Source organism: Homo sapiens, chromosome 1, assembly GCF_000001405.40.
Source record: "Homo sapiens chromosome 1, GRCh38.p14 Primary Assembly".
Classification (NCBI taxonomy): domain Eukaryota; kingdom Metazoa; phylum Chordata; class Mammalia; order Primates; family Hominidae; genus Homo; species Homo sapiens.
In genome coordinates, this window is record NC_000001.11 from 39649924 (window position 1) to 39672299 (window position 22376).

A 22376-nucleotide genomic window follows, 5' to 3' on the forward strand; every position below is an offset into this window, starting at 1 on the left:
ATTTATGGCACCAGAGGCTGGGGCTGATATCCAAGGCCTAGGAAGGAGGGGGTGTTAGGATGCCACCCTTCCCCCACCCCTGCCTTTCCCTCACCTTGGACATGGGCCACTGGTCATAAAACAGGACAAACAGCTCTGGGACCACTGGCCTTATGGACATTATAAAAATTTTACCATGAGACTAAGACATCTCAGAACACAGTTTCGATGATGTCCCCAAGTAGGTGACTCCAAGGCCCCTGAAGGAATGTTGGACAGGAGGTGTGGGAAGGAAGTAGATGAAGAATCATATTTCTCTCCATTCCTGGTGACTGGGTGGGGACAGGTGGGAAAGCAAGGGGACTTCAGGTTGGAGAATCCAGGAGACACATTCAAGTCTAGTCTTGCCACAGGGCAGAAGAACGGTTAACATAACCTTGGGGGCCCCTGGTATACCAGACTGATGGAGGTATAATAATATGTGGTAGCCAACCTCCAAGATGGCCCCTAATCATCTCCACTTCCTGATATTCACCTCCTTGCGTAGTCCCCTCTCACCTTGTATCAGGGTTTGTCTGTGTGACCAATGGAATATGCTAGAGGTGATGACATGTCACTTCCAAGGCTAGGTCATAAAAGATGGTGTGGCTTTTGCCTTGCTCTCTTGGATTACTCACTCTCAGGGAAGCCAACAGCCATGTCATGAGGACACTCAGGTAACATTGTGGTGAGGAACTCTGGTCACCTGCCAACAGCCATGTGAGTGAGCCATCTTGGAGGCAGCTCCTCCAGCCCTAGGCAAGCCTTCCATTGACTGCAGCTCCACCTGGCAGCTTGACTACAACCTCATGAGAGGCTCTGAGTAAGAACCACCCAGAAAAGCCACTCTTGGATTCCTGCTCTGCAGACACTTTGAGGTGCAGGAAGACCCTGGGGTGTAGGAAGACCCTGGGGTGCAGGAAGAAGAATGATGTGAGGGCTGGAGTCTGAGTTATCCCCTTCTTCCTTCATCTCACATCCTTTCTCATCTTCTCTTCCTCCCTCTCCATCCCCACCCTTGGTAGTTCCAGATGGGAACACCGAGTCCATGTGAGGAGCCCTGTTGGGGGAAGCTTGCCTTCTGATGCTCTCAGGCTGCTGTCCATTGCGGAATCTCCCCTCAGGGTGGTCTTCATGTGCTGGGACAGATTCTACAGAAAGATCCCAGCACTAGTGGATGAATCGGGTCCCAGGCCTCTTCATTACCTACGTCACCATTAGCATTTCATGAGGGGCCATATGCCAGTTTGTGAATACAATTGTGGGGAAAAAACAAGACAACGTAAGTTAATTAAAACCCTCTCCATTTATTTGAATGGCTTTTAAGAAGCAGAAGCACATGTGGTAAAATTAAGGTATAGGACATGCATGAGAAGTGACAGGGACCCACACTGGCAAGCACTCAGCACCCTTTATCATGTGACCAGGTAAATGTTACAAAGAGCCAGACAGGTCTGGATCGATGGGGTGTGCTACTAGTAGGCCAAAGAGGGCAAAGCTGGGAGAAGTACAAGCAGTCTTATTCCCAGACAAGGGAAGTCACAAAGACGAAGAAACACATGCTCTAACCATTTACGGAGGCACTTAGGTTTATCATAACAAGCAACCCAGAGAGGTTGGGTGATGAGGAAGACTGAGGCAGCAAATGCTATCAAAGCAAAGGGCTTCTGACAGGTAGATACAAGCACATTATGCACACAGGTTTCATTTTTCATCGTATTCTATATCGGAGGTTATTGAGATGCTCTTAAGTAGAAACCAGAAGTTAAGTATATGTGCGCTATTACATTAATAAAGAAGTTCGTAGGCCGAGTGTGGTGGCTCACGCCTGTAATCCCAGCACTTTGGGAGGCAGAGGCTGGTGGATCACCTGAGGTCAGGAGTTCGAGACCAGCCTGGCCAATATGGTGAAACCCCATCTCTACTAAAAATACAAAAAATTAGCTGGGCATGGTGGCGGGCACCTGTAATCCCAGCTACTCAGGAAGCTGAGGCAGGAGAATTGCTTGACCCCAGGAGGCGGAGGTTGCAGTGAGCCAAGATTGTGCCACTGCACTCCAGCCTGAGTGACAGAGCAAGACTCCGTCTCAAAAAAAAAAAAAAAAAAAAAAAAAAAAAAAAAAAAAGAAGTTTGTACATACGCAGTTTTGAACACACAAAGGCTGAGCTAGGTCATCTCTGAGGTCTCTTAAATATCCATCACTGAGAATCTGAGTGTAATATCCTCAGACTCTCAGTGACTTGGGTCTTAAAAACCCAAGTCTCTGGGCCTGGGCCAGCGGATGCAAACTGGAGATTCAAGGGCCGGATCTCGCCTACAGAATATGTTTTATTTGGCCCAGATGGTGTTTTCTAAATTCAAAATAGTTGCCAACATTTAAAAGTCCAGATTCCCAGCTTCTCTTCAAAAATGGGGCGGACTATCCGGCAACCTCAGGCCACATTCCCATGTGGCAGCAACCATGGCAGACCACAGTGTTCTCCATTCTCAGTGAAGAACTGGCTTAATCCTCTCCACTCATTTATGTTTCCTGCCTCGCCCCTGTAGGCATTGGGGTTTGTGACCCTGGCCCAGGCATCCAGTCTAGGGTGACCTCAGTGATTTTCTTGGTGGCTTCTTGGTGGCAGTTAGCTACAAGACTAGCCTTGAGGCCTTTACCCTAATTCCGTGGCAGATGGCCATGAAGGCATATATTCACCCACAGGCCAGGAGTGTGGGAGTCAGTGACCCCAGTCTTCACAGCTTTGGTTTGCCTTACAGAGGCTTTCACTTTGCAAAGATGAGTAACTGAAAAGTTCCCAGCCACATTTCACTTTTATAAATGGAATTCCAAAGGCCTCTAGGGGATGGCCCATCAGGGAGATACTTCCCAATTAAGGTCAATGGTAAGTCACTTCTGGGCCACATTAGAACACTCAAGCAGAGGCAGGAATCTTTGCCTAGGTTGGGCAGGGCTGGTAGTGGGGAGGGAAGGCAACTTTCGTAGCCATGGCCATGAGATGACCAGGGCATCTGTATACAGTTGGCAGGTTGTGCAGGTGTCTAATAGGTACTACCCATGTCACAATACCAATGGCGCCCTCTAGATTTTTGCAGTGCACAATCTGCCCAACTGGACACGTTGGCCTTGGCACTGTTAGGGGGAGGGAAGAAACAAATGGAGATGATGAGGCAGGTATAGTCAAAAGGATTGCCCTTACACAGATTCTACCACTTCCTTCCCAAGGCTCAGGAGTAGGGGTAGGAGGCAGAGGGTTAGGAGCCAAGACTTTCTTGGCCAGAGGTTGGGGGCTGGTCTCGGTGGCCCCCAAGCTGCACATACGCAAATGCCCATGTTATGATGGAAATGGGTACAACTATCCTAGGGCTGGCCATCAGTATGTGGGTCCCAGGACACTCAGTTAACAGAGATAACCATCTGTACACATAGTGAGTACACACACACACACAGAGTCATTGGCTGAGATATCTGGCCCATTACACACACCCACATAAATACACGTACGTGTACGATTTTTATCCTGTTGCACAAACTTAATATGTGTGCATCCATACACACAATCACAGTAATTGCCGGCAAGAGCAATCGGCTCGTCACTCGGGCATATTTAGCAAACATTTCCAGAGCACCTGAAGTCCTTTTTGGCTGGCTAGAGCTAACCGTGGGGAGAGTCCAGCGCAGCACTAAGTCAGTGGGAGAGAAAAGTAAATCAGTGGGTAGAATCACTTGACTACTGCCAGCAGCTGCGTGCCGGCCTGCAGTGCCACCTACTGGCAGAAAGGAGGTGGTTTTGTGTTTTGCTTTAAGACTAGATAAAACCCGTGATCTGGGAAGCCGCCAGCCACACGATGCTATTCATCCACCTCCTTGTGTTCTACCCAAGTCAGGTGAGGCTCTGACATCCTCAGAGTTGCATCATATCCTCAGAGGATGAACATTCTGGGCCTTGCATGCCTCTTGGATAGCAAAACCCAACACCAATAGGGATGGCAAAATAGGTTTCATCTTTCACACCAGCTCCAGCCCGCTGGTAGTGGCTGCCTGGAATGCTGGATAGAGAAAGATTCTGAGACCCAGTCTGGGCTTAGTGGAGAAGAGTATCATGATGGCATAGCGACAGCAATGATGGCTGTAGATGGGGCGTCTTCCATACTGTCTGTTCTTGCAGTGGATCCTGGAAGCCTGGTAAATCTCTAAATTTGCAGAGTCCTAGAATTCTCCTGATCCACAATTCCATTATGAGGGGTATTTGTGTTTATTGCTCACGTGCCTTCATGCCACAAGAAACTGCCATTCCAGCTGTTACAGGAGTTTTCTCTCTCACTTGATCAGTAACTTCTGAACCGGCTAAAGTCCTCACGGGACCCTCTTCACGACGGACTTGTTCTTGCTTTCACAGAAAGTACATGGATGACCTTGTTGGCTCGGAGCTGCTGAAATCAACACTGGGCACTTCAATCTATCCAAAACTCATGTTTAGCTAATGCGCATCCACCTACTAGGCTGATCATTGCCTAAGAGGCCCCATGAGGAAATGAGTCGGGAATACAAAGCCATGCTGGACAGCCAGCTGGGCTCATCCCCAGCCAAGGGCCCTGCTCCTGCCCTCTCACTCATCAGCTTGGGAGAGCACATTCAAGTCAAATCAGTGCATCAACAAAACTGCAAATTACCATGAGCCATGGGTCGCTTGAAAATAGTCAAAACTTGGAATCTTCAGATGGGCATGGAGCCCCATGTCCCTTCCCTTTGGCAGTGGAGCCAGCCTCCGCCCACAGATGCATAGGTGGATGTGACCTGGCTCATCCCACTGAGGCATCAGCCAGGCTGTCTGCCTTGGCCCAGGGGTCCGCACATTTTTCTGTAAAGGGCCAGATAATAAATATTTTTGGCTTGCAGCCTCTGTTGCAACAATTCAACTCTGCTGTTGCAGTGTGAAATCAGCCATAAACATATGTAAACAAATGGGCATGGCTATGTTCTAATCAAAGTTTCTTTTATCTTTTTTTTTTTCTTTGAGACGGAGTCTCACCCTGATGCCAGGCTGGAGTGCAGTGGCGTGATCTCGGTTCACTGCAACCTCCGCCTTCCGGGTTCAAGTGATCCTCCTGCCTCAGCCTCCCGAGTAGCTGGGACTACAGGCGTGCACCACCACGCCCAGCTAATTTTTGTATTTTTAGTAGAGACGGGGTTTCATCATGTTGGGCAGGATGGTCTCGATCTCCTGACCTTGTGATCCACCCGCCTTGGCCTCCCAAAGTGCTGGGATTACAGGCATGAGCCACTGTGCCTGGCCCCAGTCAAAGTTTCTTTACAAAAACAGGTGATGGGTCAGATTTGGCCCGTGGGCCCAGAGTTTGCCAAACTCTGCATTAGCCCAAAACAGGGGCCTTCACACTGGGTTTCTCAAAACTTGGGATTGTTTGGAAGTGCTTCTGGGGGTTCACAAACGTTTGGCTCTAATTTAAATTATTTGTAGGTGTTTAGGAAGCTATAATAAAAGCATGCACTCAAATGTATTCCAGCATTTCACCATGCAGGAAATCAACATATTAACTGTCAGGTAAGTAAACTCCTTTAGTGAAGACCTCAGAATGGAGCTTCTCTGGCTATCTCCATGCATATGTATGAGCAGTATGACAAAATGGTTGAAAACCTGGGTCCTAGAATCAGATGGACATGAGTTTGAGTCCCAGCACTGCCACTTACTAGCTCTATGGCTTTGGACAAGTTACTTTGCCTCCCTAAACCAGCATGGCCAGGACACCACAAAACAGAGTAGACACTGGCCATAGTGCCGCTGCAGCCTCCTAGAGGCTGCATTGTGGGAAAATGGAGCGCTCACAGTGGAAAGGTCAGCTGAGGCCACGAGGAGACATTCAGGGGACTCAGCGCAGCATTATCTACCAACTGCTATGGAGGTATTTCAAGTTTTAGTCATCAGTTTGGCTGTACTGGTGCACACCAATTGAGTGTCATTATAATGCCAAATCCATCTTGGCTTTGAACTTCTTGCTAGTTTCTATTTTTTTCTGGCACATTCTGATATATCCCCACTACTCTGATTGGGCTCTCAGATAGGAGAGGGGGATGTTTTGCAACTGGCTGAGCAGTCTCAGTGCTTAGTAACAGGGCTTCCATTTTTCTGCTAAGCAGCAGTCCCATTGGCTCTGGGATTTTGCTGGCAGGCATCTCCTGGAACCAGTGTTCTGCAGGGCTTGTTGGGGAAGTGGTGCTCTCAGCTAAAGGGGTCCAGTGTTTCAGAAGCCGTGGCTGCTCCACCTCAGTGCTGCATTCCCTGGTTAGGCCTGGGACTTTGGTGTTCACCTGGCTTTTTAATTTACTGGTGAACAACACTCAATGTTCCTCATCCCTGGGCACCTCCTCACCTCTAAGACAATCAGAAGGCCCGTGTAACTGCTGCCTAAGACTGCCCCTCAGATTTCTGGCTTTTTATTCCAGTGACTGAAAGCTTTTTTCCAGGCCTGAGATGCTCATTTGTGATTTCAATAATAGAATTTAGACTCTTAGTGTTTCTCCATTGCCCAGGGCTGTCTGTGTCTATTAATGATGGCTCCAGTGAAATCCATGGCTTTTACTGCACCTTATCTTTCTGCTTCCAGCATCATATTTTCCTGCTTCCTGAGAGACATGGAATCATCAGTGGTGTTCATCACCAGGCCCTGGGGGCAAGACCACACAGGTCCCAGAATCCCTGCAGTTTTTCTTAATTAGGTGACATCTGGTGCCGTCCCCAGTGCACAGGTCCACCCTGGTCAGTCAGCCTGTTGCCATGCTGTGAGCCTGGGCTGTGCCCGGCCTTGTAGGCTTCTTGCAGTCACTGGTTCTGTGAGCCTTGGAGGCTCTTCCACGGGGGTGATTCTGACCCCTGGGAGTGAGAAGGAGAGGGCCTTTCTGCAGTTCAGCCAAGAATAAAGGAGACTCAGGGCTGAGCTCCCTCCTTCACTTCTTTTTTGTTTCCTTGAGGTTGTTCTTGGCCCTCACAGTACCTCTGTCTAGGCTTGGAGCTCTGGAAGTAGACACAACCCGGGTCTTCTGCCCCAAGGCCTCCTCTGTTAGCCAGAAGGATCCTGGCTGTGCAGTGGAAATGACCTCGTGCAAAGACATTATCATATGCCCTTCCAGGGGCAATAATGCCAGTGTCCCCTGATAAAGCAGTCACTGTGGGTATCTGTCCCAGTCACTCCACACAGCCATACCCTTCCTCCCTGGGACCAGCCTCATGGAGACCTCTGACAATGACAGTAAAAACTCAGCCCAGCCTTTCTCTTCTGGCCCAAATCGTTGCTCATTTGAGAACCGTCTCTGCCTTCTCACTTTGTTCTCCTTCCTGGAATATCTTTCTGCATCTCTTACCCTGCCCCACACTGCACAGAACCTGTGCCCTTTCAGACCCTGAGCTGAGTCCCCAGAAGGACAAAGATCAAAAACCCCAGGGTGTTCTCTTCCCCTATTTCCTACCACCACATCTCCAGGCTTCTGCCCCTCTCATGATACTTTTGGTTTTCTTTACAAAGTGCTTGCTCATGACTAGGATTCCTCCTAGAAGCCTGGCAATCAGTCCACACACAGATGTCTGCTCACCCCTTCTGTCTCCCTGGGGACCAGCCATTGGTGCTTCCACCCTCCCTCTGGAGAGAGCCAGGGATGCTCAGCAAAGGAGGAGGCTGACTCATCAAGCGGTGAGAGTTCTCCTCTGAAAGTGGTGAAGAAGGGGCCGCAGGGGCTCTTGCAAATGTGGAGGATCCGCTGATGCATTTCATGGGGAGGTTATCTCATCCTGGAAGCCCTTGCTCAGCATCCACTGATGGAGAGCTCATTACCTCCAAAGGCAGCTCTGACTGGCTTTCCACTAACAATCCCATAGCTGGAGAATTTTGCTAGTGCACATTTCAGCTCCTTCCTCTCCAAGCATCACTGTCTCAGTACCTTCTGTCTCACACCAGACCTCCTGACACTTCCCACTTCACCCCAGGCAGCACCTCACCCTGGGGCTCAGCCTGGACAACCGCCTACCTCAGCCACTGCACTTTCTTCCCCTAGAATTGAGGCCACAACAGTAGACACCCATGCTCTGTCCCGTTCCCCACCAGCAGAGCTGCTCAACAGGATGCAATAACTGGAGGAATGAGGGTGGTGGAAGTGAGGGTCTTGGCAGGCAAGAGCAACTGAACTTCGGCTCAAAGCAAGAGCAAAGGAAACACTGAGCAGGCAGCTACTAATGCTTCTCCCGGGAAGAGCCTGCAGTGCCCCCTGCTGGCTGGAGGAGAGTTTGTATGCGTGTCCAATTCACTCCCCTTGCTTCCTGGGCTGAGCCCTGATGACCATTCAGGTTAGAGAATCACATGAGCAGATAGGTCATCTTGTCCAGTGGTTTCAAAATGTGTAAAATTATAGATAGAGTTGCTGGGGGCGATTTTGCATTTTGTCCATTTGAGAAAGGCCTCTGAGCTGAGGGGACACATGGGGGCTGAAATCCAGCCTCTATCCTGCTAACTAAGCTGTGTACCCCACTATGGGACTGGGTCAGGCCAGAGGAAGGGATGTCTTTTTGTTCTTCATTCACCTAGACAGTGTCCTTTTGTAATTTGCACAAAGGTGCCATACATACCAGCAGCAGCACTGACACAGAATGCTTCCTTCTAAGAGGGCGATCTTAAAGAACCAAGCTTCTTTGGCTAAAAGGGAGCTTGAAAACTGCCCAAAAGATGGGGAAACTGGGGGCCATGAAGGGGAGGGATTACTCAAAGTCATGCAGTTAATACCAGGACAGAGCTTAGAAGCCAGATCCACTCTCTCCCATAGCAGTGTTGTTTACACCACATTGAGCTAGTTTTCATCCTAAGTCACTATTGAGAAATCCTGGCTTCTCTGACCCTCCCCCTCTCAGACCCATTAACTTCCCCCCTGAAATCCAGCTACTCTGCACAGTCCTACTCTCCTACTCAGGATCATGGCACAGAATTTGCCCCAAAGGAGGGATGTTGAGAATGCCAGACCCGTCTGCATAATTTCCTACAAGTACATCACTCATAGGGATGAGGGCAGACAGGCAGAAGGACAGAACAGTGAGAAACTAGAGGGATCTACCAGAGGAGGTGTCGAAGTATGTCAGGGAGCCTGGAGCAATGTGGATCAGTAAAGCCGGTGGTTCAGCTACTGTGCAGATGGGGCCTGCTTTGCAGGTGCAGTCCGCCGGGGTGTCTGTGCCACACCATAAGGCACATGGGCGGCCACAGTGCCCATCTCCTGAGCCCCAGCCACATGGAACATCTGGTCATCAAAGAAGATGTGTGGGCGGATCTTCTCAAGGAGAGGGCCCTTGGGCGCTCCAGCAAGGAACAAGGCTTCATCTGTCTCCAGGCCCCAGCTGCGCAGGGTCTTGAGAGCCCGGGCCCCGGAACTGGCTGCACTGCGTGCTGTCACCAAGTAGGTACGAATTGGGCACTCCAGCCGCAGGCCTTTGGAGTAGAACTTCTTCTGCAACCTACCCAGTGCCTCCAGAAAGCCCTTTAAGGGGCCCTATGAGAAGGCAAGGGGAACATTGTTAGCTCTACCACCTCCTAAATATTTGCCCCCTGCTCTCCCTAAAGCACTAGTGTCTTGTTTGGTGTGGAAAACTTCAGGATCCCTAAATCTTTCAGTTAGCTCTGCTTATGCCTGCTTAGGCTACTGTGTGCACCAGCGCGGCTCTAGTCAGGGGATCTGTGTTATTGTATATTGGTGCTGGGTCAGGATAACTATCAGGGCAACTGTTGATATGTATCATCCATCCATATGCCCATCAAGGTATACAGATGTCTGTCCTGAAGGTCTGTAACTGTGGCCTTCGATGCCCATCAACAGGGGGGATATTAAAACCATTTAGTAACTATGGCATGGGCGCCCTCCAATCAGAATGGACTCCAGCTATAAACAGCTGGAGAAGATGGACCAATGTGTAAGTGTTGAGTATCAACCGTGCCCATCTGGCACCCAGGTGGCTCAGGGTGTCATCCTCAAGCACTCTAGGGTCAAGGACAATTTATTCTCTACAGTGCCCAGAACAATGAAGCTTCCTGAGGATGTGAGAATAAAAAAACAGACAACGATGAAGAAAACTGCTTATTTCCAAAGCAGCTAGAAATAAACAAAAGTGGGCTCCTCGTCTTGGAGACCTCTCGCTTGCTAGGTAAACTGGAATAAGCAGTGGTCTCCTGGGCCTCTGCTTACCACTTAGTAGGAAAACTCTCCTGCCCTGGATTCCCAAGGATTTCAGAGGCAACTCGCAAGAACAGACATGAACTGAATATTTAGGAGCCACAGCGGAAGCCTGCTGAGCTCTTGGAGAGGGGCTCTGAGATTATTGAGCTCCCGGGTTTTTGTTAAAAGCTCAAATAAGAGCTCCCAGCAGAGCTGGAGAATCCCAACAGCCCCAACTCCAGGGAATTTCCACCAAGCTCTAGGGTATATTCTGTTCTGAGAGACACTGAGCAGTTTGAGGGTGAGTGAGGGTCCCTGTGCCCCCAGCCAAGGGATGGATGGCAGGAGATGTCCCAAAGCAAATGGTCTGCCCCAGATGTCACACCCAGCTGGATCTCCCTACCCCAATGAGGCGCCCCAGTCCAGCAATTCCTTTCCTCCTGTTTCCAGTGAGGGAAACAGGCTTCTTAAGAGGGTGGGCATGGTCTCAGAGGGGCGGGGGATCTCAGGGAGGAAGTGAGGGTTCCAGAGAGAGAATGGGAGCTTCAGAGAGACAGGATGAGGCCTTCAGAGCAGGGCAGGGACTTCAGAGAAGAGGTGGGGACATAGAGAATGGGGACGTCAGGGAGGGAAAGGAGACCTCAGAAATGGGGATTTGAGCTGCAGAGGGGGGATGGGCTTAGAGAGAGGCTTAGATAGAGAATGGAGGCTTCAAAGGAGGGTTGGGACTTCAGTGAGGGGATGTGGGCTCAACAAAGCAGGTGGAAGCTCATTGATGGGGGGTCAGTGGTCAAGTGAGAGGGTCGAGGGGACCAGGCTGGAATCTGGGCTGAGCCTGGGGTTTGTTTGCTTCCAGGCTGGGAGTGCAGGCCAAGGGCAGGTCTGGGGAGCTGCCTTGTTCCTCTCAGGGGTTCTGGGTCTATGGGGAGCACCTGAGCCAGAGGTTTGTTCTCGTGGGCCTTCTCATGCTCGAAGAATCGGTCCAGCCCGTGGGCCTTGACGATGCGCTCCGACTCGTCCGAGAAGAGCACGGCGTCCCCATCGAAGGCCACGCGCAGCTGACTCTGGGACACAACCACATCCCTGCTGGGGCTGAAGATGGTGGCAGCTGCGATCCCTAGGCAGAGAGAGGCAAGCATTGTCTGCCTTCAGGCTGGGCAGTAGGGCTAGAGTGGGCTATCTTAGGCTATCCTTGCCCCACCTGCCTCATACAGGACTCAGGGCAAGGCTGATGAAAACTAATATTTAAAACTTGTAAAAACTGGTAGTGCATGGATCCTGGCCAAGAAGAGGGCAGTAGCAGTGGCTCTGAAGGAGATCTCTAGGGCCCTTGCCTTGCCAGGTTACCCTGTTGGTTATTGCTTTGTGGAAAAGTCTGGGAGGAGTCCCAGGGGGCAGGAGGGCACTCAGGACTCAGGGCAGGAAATATTTACCAACCAGGGTGAAGGAAATTTCAATACTTTAATACCTAGTAAGATCATGCTGCTGTGGACCAGCCAAACATGAGTCCCATCGGCCACTGCCTTCGTGCCAGGGGTGCCTCACAGCCCCTGATGTAGACCGACAGTGGGGCTGGGAAGGAGCCCCAACTCTGGGTTGGCCTCAGTCACTCCCTCACCATTGGTTCTAGCAAGTCACTCACCTTCTCTGGACCACTGTAAAATTAAGGGCCTCTCAGCTCTGGGGCTGAGACCACAGGCTGCAATCGGGTGAGGTGAGTACGTGCACCCTCAGTCTACAGCCACAATGACACCCAGGTATGCCCTGCTGGCGGCTGGCTGTTCAGGGTTCCAAAAAACAACCTAAGTGGCCCTGGGAGACAGCACAAGTGATGGCTAGTTGTGTGCACAGACTGCAACCCTGGGCTCCTCCAGGGGTCCAAGGATGCCTCTCAGGGGTTCAGGCTCCAGGCTAGAGCTGCACTAGATGGCAGAGAGCCAGTGCTGGGAGGCTGGAGACCTGGGCAACTGGCCGAGCTCATTCCCTAGTCTCCATCTCTTCAAAGACCACTTCAGCCCAACTCTTTGAAAACTGAGGATCACAGAGGCTGGGCTTAGGTGAGCTTTGGGAGGAGTGAGCAGTGCTACCTGCACACAACTTCACTAGCCTGAGGATACTACAAGCAGGGCCAGTGCCAGGCATCAAGCCAGGTACCCTCTCAGCTCTGCCAGCACTGGAATCAAGATGACCCAGAACCACCCCTACCCTCAACAGGGCCTCCCCGTGGACCATTCTCCTGCTCCCTAGCCTGAGGTCAAGTTACAAACACACAGAGGCACACCTACATGCCAGTGCCAAGGCCCCAACCAGAGGGTGTGACATCTGTCTAGGGAAATGGCTCCTGGTTCCTGGTTAAAGAAAGCCTCTAGGAGCTCCCAAGCAGCTCAGGAGAGTGAGTTATCAGGGGGAGAGGGGCCAGGCTTCCAGGCAGGAGACAACATGAAAGAGGAAGAGAAAAGTGAATATATTGTTGGTTGATAAAGAAACTTGCCACTAGTGTTCAGCCTAAGGAACCCTCTCAGGTACCTGGCCAGTCCTTGCTCCTCTATGGGCCTGTTTATCTCATGTGCAATAGGATACGCACCTCGTTGGGAGGACTGAGACTATGGATACCACCCAAAACTGCCCCTCGAAAGACACACATAGAGGGACATTCTCTTTGTCAGTACTTGCATCTGGGTCTCCTAAACTCCCCTAAGCACTGGCCAGCCCAGCTGCTGGAGATGCTGGCCATTCCCCAGACCCCACCACTCAGGCTTTCAGGCTGGACTAGATATGAATCCTCCTTCCCATTGGCCCAGGGCAGGGCAGAGGCTGCCTATGGTCCTACAGGAATCAGAACTCCTTCTGACTTGGAGGAATCATAGAAGAAAGTAGCTTTCTGGGCTGTAGAGAGGGTTTCCATGGAAACAGAAGGCTGGGTGATGCTGAGAAGTAAAAGCATCCATGACACAGTAGGGCCAGATGTAGGAAGATGGAATGGGTAGGGCCTTGGTTTCAGAATTTATAGGACAGATTATAAGAATTAAGGAAAGTATTGCTCAGCCTTGCCTTCTAGTTACCATGGCAACTCCCAGCACCTGCTCGGAACTTCAGGACCAGGCCTCCCACCTCAGGGACCCCTTTGCTGCACTCCCCATATTCTTCCTCTTCACTTAGACTTACCCTCATCAATGGCTTCTCGCACTTTTTCCGCATCGGCTGACAAGTAGAGGTTGGTGTGATAGGCCTTGAGGTAGCAGATCGGGCTGTTCCCACCTGTCATGCAGAACCTCTCGATGAACAGGTCTGGGAAGGAGGTAAAGGACCCAGGTGAGGCCAGGGTCAACCCTGGGCTTCAGGGCAGTCTCTCTGTGCCCAGTGCACACCATCCTAGTTCTGGGTGTGGTACGGCAGCACAGCGTGTCTCAGTGTAATTTTAGGCCAGTGTTCCCCTCTGAGCCCCTCCATCCTTCATGAAATGAGGACGATCACATCTCTAGAGCAATTGCCCAGCTCACAGGGACATCCTCTTGTCAAGGAATCACAGTGCTACATGCCTGTGTGACCCCGCCTCCTGGCCATAGCTGCCATAGCTGATTGGATAAGAGCAGACATCTGGCCCAAGCTGGGCCAATCTGATTACCTAGGCTGCCAATCCGCTGGTCCCCATTACTGCAAAAGTTGTAAAGTATTTGTTGGTTGATAAACGGCTGCTGCTCTGAGCCCATTAAGTTACCCGTCACTCTCGCAGCCCCTTACCCAGGACCTCTGTCCTCTCCAGAGTCCACAACACAAGGCGGTAATGCCTTGTACGGCAGGGGTCCTTCAGGGCCCTGCTTCAGCACTATAGGGAGAGTCTGTCCTGATTACGCAGTGTGTATGTCACACAGGTGGTTAAATATTTTTACGATCAACCCTGCTCCCAAGAATTTGAAATTAGGATTTAAAAATGCCAACTAGACTCTCTTGGTTGCTAAAAACCAGGCCTGGTAAACCTATAAATATAGGTGTATTCTTTTTCTTTCTTTCTTTTTTTTCGTTTTGAGACAGAGTCTTGCTCTGTCGCCCAGGCTGGAGTGCAGTGGCGTGATCTCGGCTCACTGCAAGCTCCGCCTCCCGGGTTCACGTCATTCTCCTGCCTCAGCCTCCCGAGTAGCTGGGACCACAGGCCCCACCACCATGCCCGGCTAAATTTTTTTGTATTTTTAGTAGAGACGCCGTTTCACGGTGTTAGCAATCCAATCTCCTGACCTCGTGATCCCCCGCCTCGGCCTCCCAAAGTGCTGGGATCACAGGTGTGAGCCACCGTGCCTGGCCAGGTGTATTATTTTTCTGTCTCTCTCTCCCCAGAGTGGATTTCTCCTCCTCTCCTCTCCTCTCCTCTCCTTTCCATCTCACTCTGTCACCAGGCTGGAGTGCAGTGGGGTGATCTCGGCTCATTGCAACCTCTGCCTCCCGGGTTCAAGTGATTCTCATACCTCAGCCTCCCGAATAGCTGGGATTACAGGTGTGCGCCACCACACCAGGCTAATTTTTGTATTTTTAGTAGAGACAGGGTTTTACCATGTTAGGCTGGTTTTGAACTCCGGACCTCAAGTGTTCCACCCGCCCTGGCCTCCCAAAGTGCTGGGATTACAGGAGTGAGCCACCGCACCTGGCCTGCTTTTCTTGAATACGGTTTTTATTTAGGAAAAGCAGAGAAATCCAATTTCAGGGGAGAGAGGAAAAAAAAAAAGAGCAAACTTGCTAGAGAAGCACAAATAAAGGTTCATGTGGCCTGAAGAAAAGAAGAGCCGGGAGAGATTTCTAGTACTTGGATTCAGGTCTTTGTAGGCCCAATTTTATTTCCTGCCCTCTGAAAGACACCCCTGTAACCTAATAAAAAATTCTCCTGGGCTTAAGCTAGCTCTGGAGGGGCTATTATTTTTAACCTTGAGTTTAGAATAAGACACAAAGCCCTTTCACTCTGACAGCTGCACCTGATTCTCCCAGCAGCCTTGTGAGGCCTGTTAGCCCCATCACAGTTAGAGAAACTGAGGCAGGGAGGCAGTAACTGTCTCACCTAATCACACGGAGAGTGGGGTGTGCTGGAGCTGGCTTGGACTGGCTTGCAAGAGCCCACAGTTAAACATTCAGAAATTTTGTGAGCCATTTGTGTTGTTCAACCACTGACAGCTTGAAACCAGTCCTGGTGGAAATATTTTACACCTGAAAACTAGCAACACTACAAGTCAGGGTTTTGTTTGTTTGTTTAAAGAGCGAATTTACCAGCACACACTGGACTTGGGGTTCTGGTCAGTACAACTCCATCCTGCAGAGGTGTGGCCCCATCCCTGGGGGGTCTGGTAGGGGTGTCCCAGGGCAAACCCCCCATCCTCATGCTCATGCTCACCATAGTGGTTGATACTGTTGATGAGGCGGACACCCACTTGAGCATGGTTGTTAGTCATGAGGACGATGTCGAAGACGTCCTCACTATCAGGGTACAGCTCCCGCAGCCGCCTGTTCACGGCCTCCAGAGCCTGGAAAGGAGAGGGCACCCCCCAGCTTAGACCCCCAAGGATTGATACCTGAAGTTGGTGGCCAAGGATTCAGTGAGGGGAGGTGAGGAGCCATGCTTGGGATGAGATAAGTGCACATGAACTACCTTCTCCTAATGCAAGTTGCTTACCACTCAGGGGTACCTCGCTAGAGAGAGTCGGGGCTGAAATCCAGCCCGCATTCCACTCACCAAGCTGGTTACCAGGCGTGGGGCTGCATTTGTCCAGAGGGTGGATGAATTTTCTTCCCAAAAGACTCTGTCACCTAGCCAAGCTGTGTACCTGTGTGGTTACATCTGCCCAGAGGGGCCCTTTCACCTTACTCAAATACTCATGGGAGTGCTTTTTTCTAATCCCCACGAAGGCGCTATATGAGCTAGTGGTGGAACTGCTCCCTCACCTTCACAAAAGGGAAGGCTGGCCCGGGACTGAAGGGTTCGTTCTCATGTTCCAGCTGGTAGCGCACGTACTCCTCCACGCCCTGCTCCGTGTAGATCTGCTGCTCCTCGTCCATGCGAAACAAGGCTCGGGAGGACACAGCGATGGTGACTGCATTCTGAGGCTTGGGCTGCAGAGGTATGGGAGAAGGGGTTGTCACTCAGATGACTGCCCCTGAGGCAGGCTCACATGTGTGAGTCTCCCTGGGTAGTGAGGACATGGAGAAGACCCAGACCCAGTCTCTACCTAAAGAGGCCCAGCCTTGAGCAGATGTGGACTTAGGTCAGGACCCCATCTATGACGGACCCAGATGGGGGTTGAGAGAGGTGCTGGCTCCCTTGCTGGAAGCACAATCTGATGGAGGGAGGGCCATGCCCTTGGGAGTTTGCAATCTAGCCAGGCATCTGGACACAAGAAAAAAATGAAGCCAATGTATGTGGCCAACGTGTGACTGATGCTGGAGATGATCTCAGTTGGTTTCCATTGTAAAATAAGAGCTGCATGCCCTTAGGAAGAAATGATGCCCATAAATATGACAATTTATATAAAAAATGTATCTGCAACCCAGATCTGTCTCCTGAGCTCCAGATTCATACATCCATCTAACTGCCCCAGTTGACTAACAGCCTCTCAAAGTTAACATTCCCAAGGCTGAATTCCCATCACCTTCTCCCCTCCCAAACCTGATCCCTTCTCCCTGTAACTCATAGCAAGGCTTAGAACCACTATCCACTCATTACTGAAGCAGAAGCTGGGAAGTCAGCCTCAACTCCCTTCCTCATCAATCGATTACCGAAATGAGTCAACTCTACTAGAATCCACCCACTTCTTTCGTTCAGGCCATCATCATCTGTCACATTCTCTAATCTGTCATTCATGCTGCTGTCAGGGGATTTTTCTAAAGTTCAGATCTGACCACAGCCCCCCTCTTTAGTGGTGCACACTATTCTCAGAATATGGCTGGCAGCCTCTAGTGTGGAAATAGAAAGCCCTTCACAACAGACCCCTACTTCTCTTTCCATTCCCCTCTTCCAATCCCCTAGCTTTGCCCCACCTGGGCTTTCTCACATCAGGTCATACTTTCCCCCTCTTTTTTTTTTTTTTTTTTTTCTGAGATGGAGTTTCACTCTTGTTGCCCAGGCTGGAGTGCAGTGGTGTGATCTCAGCTCACTGCAACCTCCACCTCTCAGGTTCGAGCAATTGTCCTGCCTCAGCCTCCCAAGTAGCTGGGACTATAGGTACCCGCCACCCCAGACAGCAGCTGGACCTTTATAGTCCCTAGGGAGGATCAGAATATGAGTGCCCAAGGGATTTACAGATACCCAGAGAATCCCACCACATCTCTGTGTCCTGAGCAGTCCTGGGGTCCTGATTCCCACTTTACAAATTAAAAATGAGGGGCTCAAATTGAGGTCAAGGCTCATAAATGCACCTTGCATTCTTGCCTCTCCTGATCATCCGTGGGTCATGTACTCAACCCCATTTCTTCTTCCTGGGGTCAGTCCTGGGCTCCAATCAGTTGACAACATTGAGTGGTTACCATCTGAGAGACACCGTGGTGGACATGGCAGGAAACAACACAAGTGTGATCCCTGTCCCCATGGAGCTCATGATCCAACCCCAAGACAGAGGCCAATGCCATCTTTTAAAAGAGCAATGTCCAATGGAACTTTCTATGATAATGGAAATATTCCATAATCTGTGCTCTCCCTGTGGCTGTGGAACAATTTGAAATGTGACTAATGAGACTGAGGAGCTGAATTTTAGATTTTACTTCATTTAAATGAACTTAAACAGCTATACGTGGCTAGTGGTAAATGCAGCTTTAGAACCTTATAATAGGAGTGGAAGACAAAAGAGTTCCCCAAGGTCATGTGGTAGACCTCAGTTTGCATTTGACTTTTAACCCCAACCAAGATGGTGTATGTGGCCAGCAAGGTCTGCATAAGGCAGTGGCAGGACAGGTGCTTCTTCTTGGAGGTTCAACCCAAATACCTTTCTCAGTTGCTGACTACCACCATGTGTGTGTCCTAAGGGTGGGGTTGGTGGTGGAGTGGGGAGACCCACTCTCATAAACCCTGGAAGCCTGGAGGCCTTTGGAACAGGAGCTGAGCTTGCTCCACCCACTGGGCTTACTGCCCCAGGGACAGGGCCATCACCCCTCTAAGGACAGAGAGTCAGCTGCCCTCCCAGCCCCATTAGGCAGGTTCCCAAGCCTGCCACTCCAACCCTGGCAGCCAGCTAAGGTCTCGCTCCTCACTTTCTGTCCCACAGTCCCTGCCAGACTGCCAAGTCCTGGGCTCCCTCTGGCTGAGCTACCCAGACAGACCCCAATCCATCCCGCCCCTGGTTGTTGCAAGAAAAACGTCCTGGTTGCATTGGCCCCAAGAGTCCTCTGCTTCTCTCTTTTCCAGATGGGGAAACAGGCCCAGAAAGGGGCCTGTTACTCTAGGTCAAGGCAGAGCAAGATGACATCTCAAGTCTCCGGCCTCTAGCCTGGCCTCTATCCACACTGCAGTCCCCTTGCTATTCCTCTCCTCAACAGTTCCCAGAAGATTCTATCCCTTGCTACTTCCGCCTTCCCTGGAAACATCTCCCCCAGCCTTCACTTTCCAGATTTGGGAGAAATGATCAGGGCGTGCCCACAAACTGAGGTTTCTAACGGCAGGTCTCTGTTTCCCAGCAGAATGGGGGTCCCAAGGGCAGGACTGTGCATCCCCACTTAGACTGCTGTGACACAGTATGAGTGAGGTGGAGTCTAAGATCCCAGAGGCCATGGCTGTGTAAGAAATATGGATCCCAGCTGGGACTGATGAATGACCTGTCCAGGCTCCAGGTGGAGCTGAAGGAGCAGGTGAAATGGGCTGGCCAGAGATAGGGACAAGTTGTGGACATAGAGACCCTCCTGGGCCTGGCCGCAGAGGTGGCCATGTGTTGGCAGGGGCATCTAGGAACAGTTCCTCCAGAGAGCAGAAAGAAGCCCTGATCTCAGACTGGGAATTGGGTCAGAGTGACTCAAGGGCTCACTCTGGGAGCTCTGAGCTCCAGGAAACCAGGGTGCTGGCAGCTCTCTCTGCCTTTCAGGGTCAGGCTGATGGCTCCGGCTAGGGGATGGGAATGGAAGAATAACAGAGTGCAGCCCACCCCCACCTGGACTTCCTGAGGAGCTCCCATTTAGGCTAACGTAATTCTGCCTATTGGGTCCAAGATAGAAACATAGGCAAAAAGCTGTTATTCCCAGTAGGACTTAGAGAGGGAAGGGCTGCTGAAAGAGAGAGGGACAGGAGAGTTTTGGATTGAAGAAGTGTTCTGACCCCATGAGGTGAGGGCCTCCAACAGGCCTTCAGGCGTTAAATATTTTACTCAGGCCCCTGGGAATGAGAATTAGCCCAGGCCAGGCCATGATGGGGCCCATGAGGCCTAGAGCCCCCAAAATAGCCTGTGGGAAGAGGGGCTTCTGCAGGAAGGAATAGGAGCTGGGAAGCCTCCAGGCTTCTTGCCTCCCAGAGAACCATGAGAGTCAGGGGCTGATCCAGGGGTCATGACTGACAACTGGGCCTGAGCTCTCCGGTTCCTTGGTGCCTGGGGAGGAAATGGATTTTGAGCACTGATGCTTTCACTGCCCCAGTCCCCAGTCTCCATCCCTTCTTCTGCATCACTCAGGCCACAGCATTGACATTCATCCAGCTTCCTCTTCAGAGAGGCACCAGCCTTCTCACTGGTGGGTTTGCTGCCGGACTCACCCTTTCCAATCCATCCCAGAGTGATCTTTCTAAAATAAAAATGGGACCCAGTTAATCCCCTGATGAAAAATCCTGTAATAGCTCCATAATGGTATTCATATGTTTGTTTAAATGTAGGTTGACCTTTTATTTAAATGAATTCAAATAAACTTTGAATTCAATATGTAAGCCAGATATTACCATATATCTCATACCATATGGTACCAGATATAACATATATAATTGGTGTTTATTTATTTTACAGATTCAAATGCATTACATTTATTTATTTATTTATTATAAAGTCAACCAATGAAAACAACACAGTTGTTTGCATGACAACAAATTTGAAACTAGCGGCTAGAATGCCAGTGCAGACTTAAGCTTCAGCATCCGGCCAAGTTGTTGCTGTGTTTGTATTTGTACAGTATTGAGAAAGTCCTGATTCAGACCAATAAGTGGTTGGAAATGCTAAAAGGTTTTTTGTTTTGGTTTGTTTTAAACTAAAGGCCTTACAATCTCAAGACGCTCTTTGATGGAACAGATCACAGGGGAAGCCTTATTCTGAGCTTTGCTTTAAAAAAATCTGCAGCACAAGCTAGTGGCCTTCAAGCTGCTAAAATGTCCACCTAATACATTAGAGTGAGTTGGGTTTTATTACACATTTTTAATTGTTTAAAACATAGTCCGAAGAAGAAAGAAAATAAATTGGATTCACATGTGTGCAGACTCCCTGAAACATGGGGCTTGGGGAAGCTAGTTTGGAAATCCCTGACCCCCTTGAGTAAGGTCCAGACTCCTTAACATGATCCCCAAGGCCCTCTGTGGGCTCTTCCACATCCCTCCAGCTCTTCTTCCAACAATCCTGCATTCTTCATTCAGTACTTATTCAGGAACACAGTCCTGAGCTTCAGAGACATCTGCATGACTTTTGCCTGTCCTGTTTCCCTCTCCCTGGGAAACTCCACCTACTCAGGCTTTAAGATCAGGATACGTGCCACTTCTACAAAGCTTTCCCCAGTGTGATGTCACTACTCTACTCCCCCCCCAACTCCCCTAGGCTCTCATCTCTGGAGCCTCCATCATTGTGCAGTGAGCTCCTGAGGCAGGGACTCAGGTTATTTAATTCTTCAATCCCCACTCTTGAGCAGAGCTTGGAGGTGCTAATTGAATGATTGCTGATAGGGTGGACCTGTTGGGGAAGGGTTCTTGGAGGGAAGCAGCAAATTGCTTTAAGATCAAGCTGGAGCTCTTTGGAGGACCGCTGTGGGCCAACCTCTATTCTCGGTTTTCTCCTCAAGCTCTGAGATCTGGGAAGTTGGAGACAGCAAGGTCCAGGGGCAGACCAGGGCATCATCAACTTGTTTGATGGCAGAGAGGAGAGAGCTCCTCTGTGAGGTCCCAGACGGTTGACACCACCACAGGGTCGTGGGGATGTTAATGCCCACTGCAAGGGGAGCAGAACCCGAGCTGGGGGGCAGAGTCCAGCGCTGGGAGCCTGCGGCCAGGGGCGCCGATCGCCCCCCAGCGCAGAGTGTGGATCCCAGTGCCTGGAGAGAGCAGCTCCCTTTCCTTAGGACGCGGGGAGCGCACTGCCCCCAGCCCAGGGCCCAGGACCCAGAGCCAGACCCCAAACGCAGAGTCTCAGGTCCGGAGCCCGATGCCCAGATGGCGGAGACCGGAGCGCACAGCCAGGAACCGGGTTCCCAAAGTCTGGTTACCCGCGCCTGGGGCGCTTCTGGAAGCGCTGCGGACCAGCTTCGCCAACAAGTGCAATCCGCGCTCCCCGGCGGCCCGAGTGGGGAGGGGCTGGGGCTGCGGGCCTCTAGCTGGGCCCTGATGACAGCATGGGGGAGGGGGAGCCTGGCGTGGAACCCGAGTCCCGGTAAAAAAATACACCAGAGCAGAGCTCCCAAAATAAACCCGAGCCCGCGCCAGCTGCAGGGCGCATTCTGGGGCTGAGGAGCTGCGTCCCCTCCCAGAGGGGCGCCACGGGTCCCTTCCCAAGAGACTTATGACCCCTCCTCCGGGGTAACCCTTCCCCCGTCCCCCGCATACCCGTGCATTGCTTTTACCGATTTGGGTTTCTTCTTGGGCGCGAGGTTGTCGTAGAAAATCTTGGCTTCCTCCCAGACCGGGGCCGCAGCGGTCTCCGCTCCTGGCCCGGGCTCGCGGGGCTCCTGGGGCTCCCGGGGCTGCCCAGGTTCCATGCTCCGGCTCTGACCCGGCCCGGCCAGAGCAGGCGGCGGCGTAGACGCGGAGGTGGCTGGGGCTGGGCTGCAGGAGGGAGGCGAGTCCCGGCGAGGGAAGGGGGCGGGCAGCGGCGAGGAGGCTGTGCGTGTGAGCTGGGCTCCCCGCCCGCCGGGCGGGGGGAGGTCACACTGGCCCTCTCGGTCGCCCGTGTGTCGCTGCCGCTGCTGCTGCTACTGCTGTACGGTATGAGGGATAGCTGGGCTCTCCTTCCCCGACCG

General features: G+C 51.3%; 1 protein-coding gene across 1 annotated transcript, besides 4 other annotated features; it reads right to left on the reverse strand.

Moving 5' to 3' along the window:
• Window positions 1-1305: 1305 nt before the first annotated feature.
• Window positions 1306-22184, reverse strand: NT5C1A (5'-nucleotidase, cytosolic IA). The gene is made up of 6 exons (NM_032526.3): window positions 21981-22184; window positions 16146-16313; window positions 15598-15727; window positions 13389-13511; window positions 11156-11340; window positions 1306-9563 (listed from the first exon to the last, which is right to left on the reverse strand). Exons 1-6 carry the CDS (start codon window positions 22113-22115, stop codon window positions 9198-9200), a joined length of 1107 nt encoding a protein of 368 aa, NP_115915.1. The 5' UTR covers window positions 22116-22184; the 3' UTR covers window positions 1306-9197.
• Window positions 8133-8202: an enhancer, noted in NCBI's record as "active region_815". NCBI's record gives its function as "activates an Ori minimal core promoter by ATAC-STARR-seq in GM12878 lymphoblastoid cells {active_cell/tissue: GM12878}" and the evidence as "EXISTENCE:reporter gene assay evidence [ECO:0000049][PMID:35858748]".
• Window positions 8133-8448: a biological region, named in NCBI's record as "Sharpr-MPRA regulatory region 4263".
• Window positions 8154-8448: an enhancer, noted in NCBI's record as "tiled region #4263; HepG2 Activating non-DNase unmatched - State 12:CtcfO, and K562 Activating DNase matched - State 5:Enh". NCBI's record gives its function as "activates a minimal TATA promoter and a strong SV40 promoter by Sharpr-MPRA in HepG2 and K562 cells {active_cell/tissue: HepG2 | K562}" and the evidence as "EXISTENCE:reporter gene assay evidence [ECO:0000049][PMID:27701403]".
• Window positions 21967-22376: a silencer, noted in NCBI's record as "silent region_709". NCBI's record gives its function as "represses an Ori minimal core promoter by ATAC-STARR-seq in GM12878 lymphoblastoid cells {active_cell/tissue: GM12878}" and the evidence as "EXISTENCE:reporter gene assay evidence [ECO:0000049][PMID:35858748]".

Excerpts from the sequence above, each read along its gene's own strand:
- NT5C1A (NM_032526.3), bottom strand. The coding sequence starts at position 22,115 with ATGGAACCTGGGCAGCCCCGGGAGCCCCAGGAGCCCCGCGAGCCCGGG. Across the intron at positions 13,512-15,597 it reads CAACAGTATCAACCACTATG|ACCTGTTCATCGAGAGGTTC; the intron begins GTGAGCATGAGC and ends CCTCCTTCCCAG. Across the intron at positions 11,341-13,388 it reads GCGAGAAGCCATTGATGAGG|GGATCGCAGCTGCCACCATC; the intron begins GTAAGTCTAAGT and ends CTCTCTGCCTAG.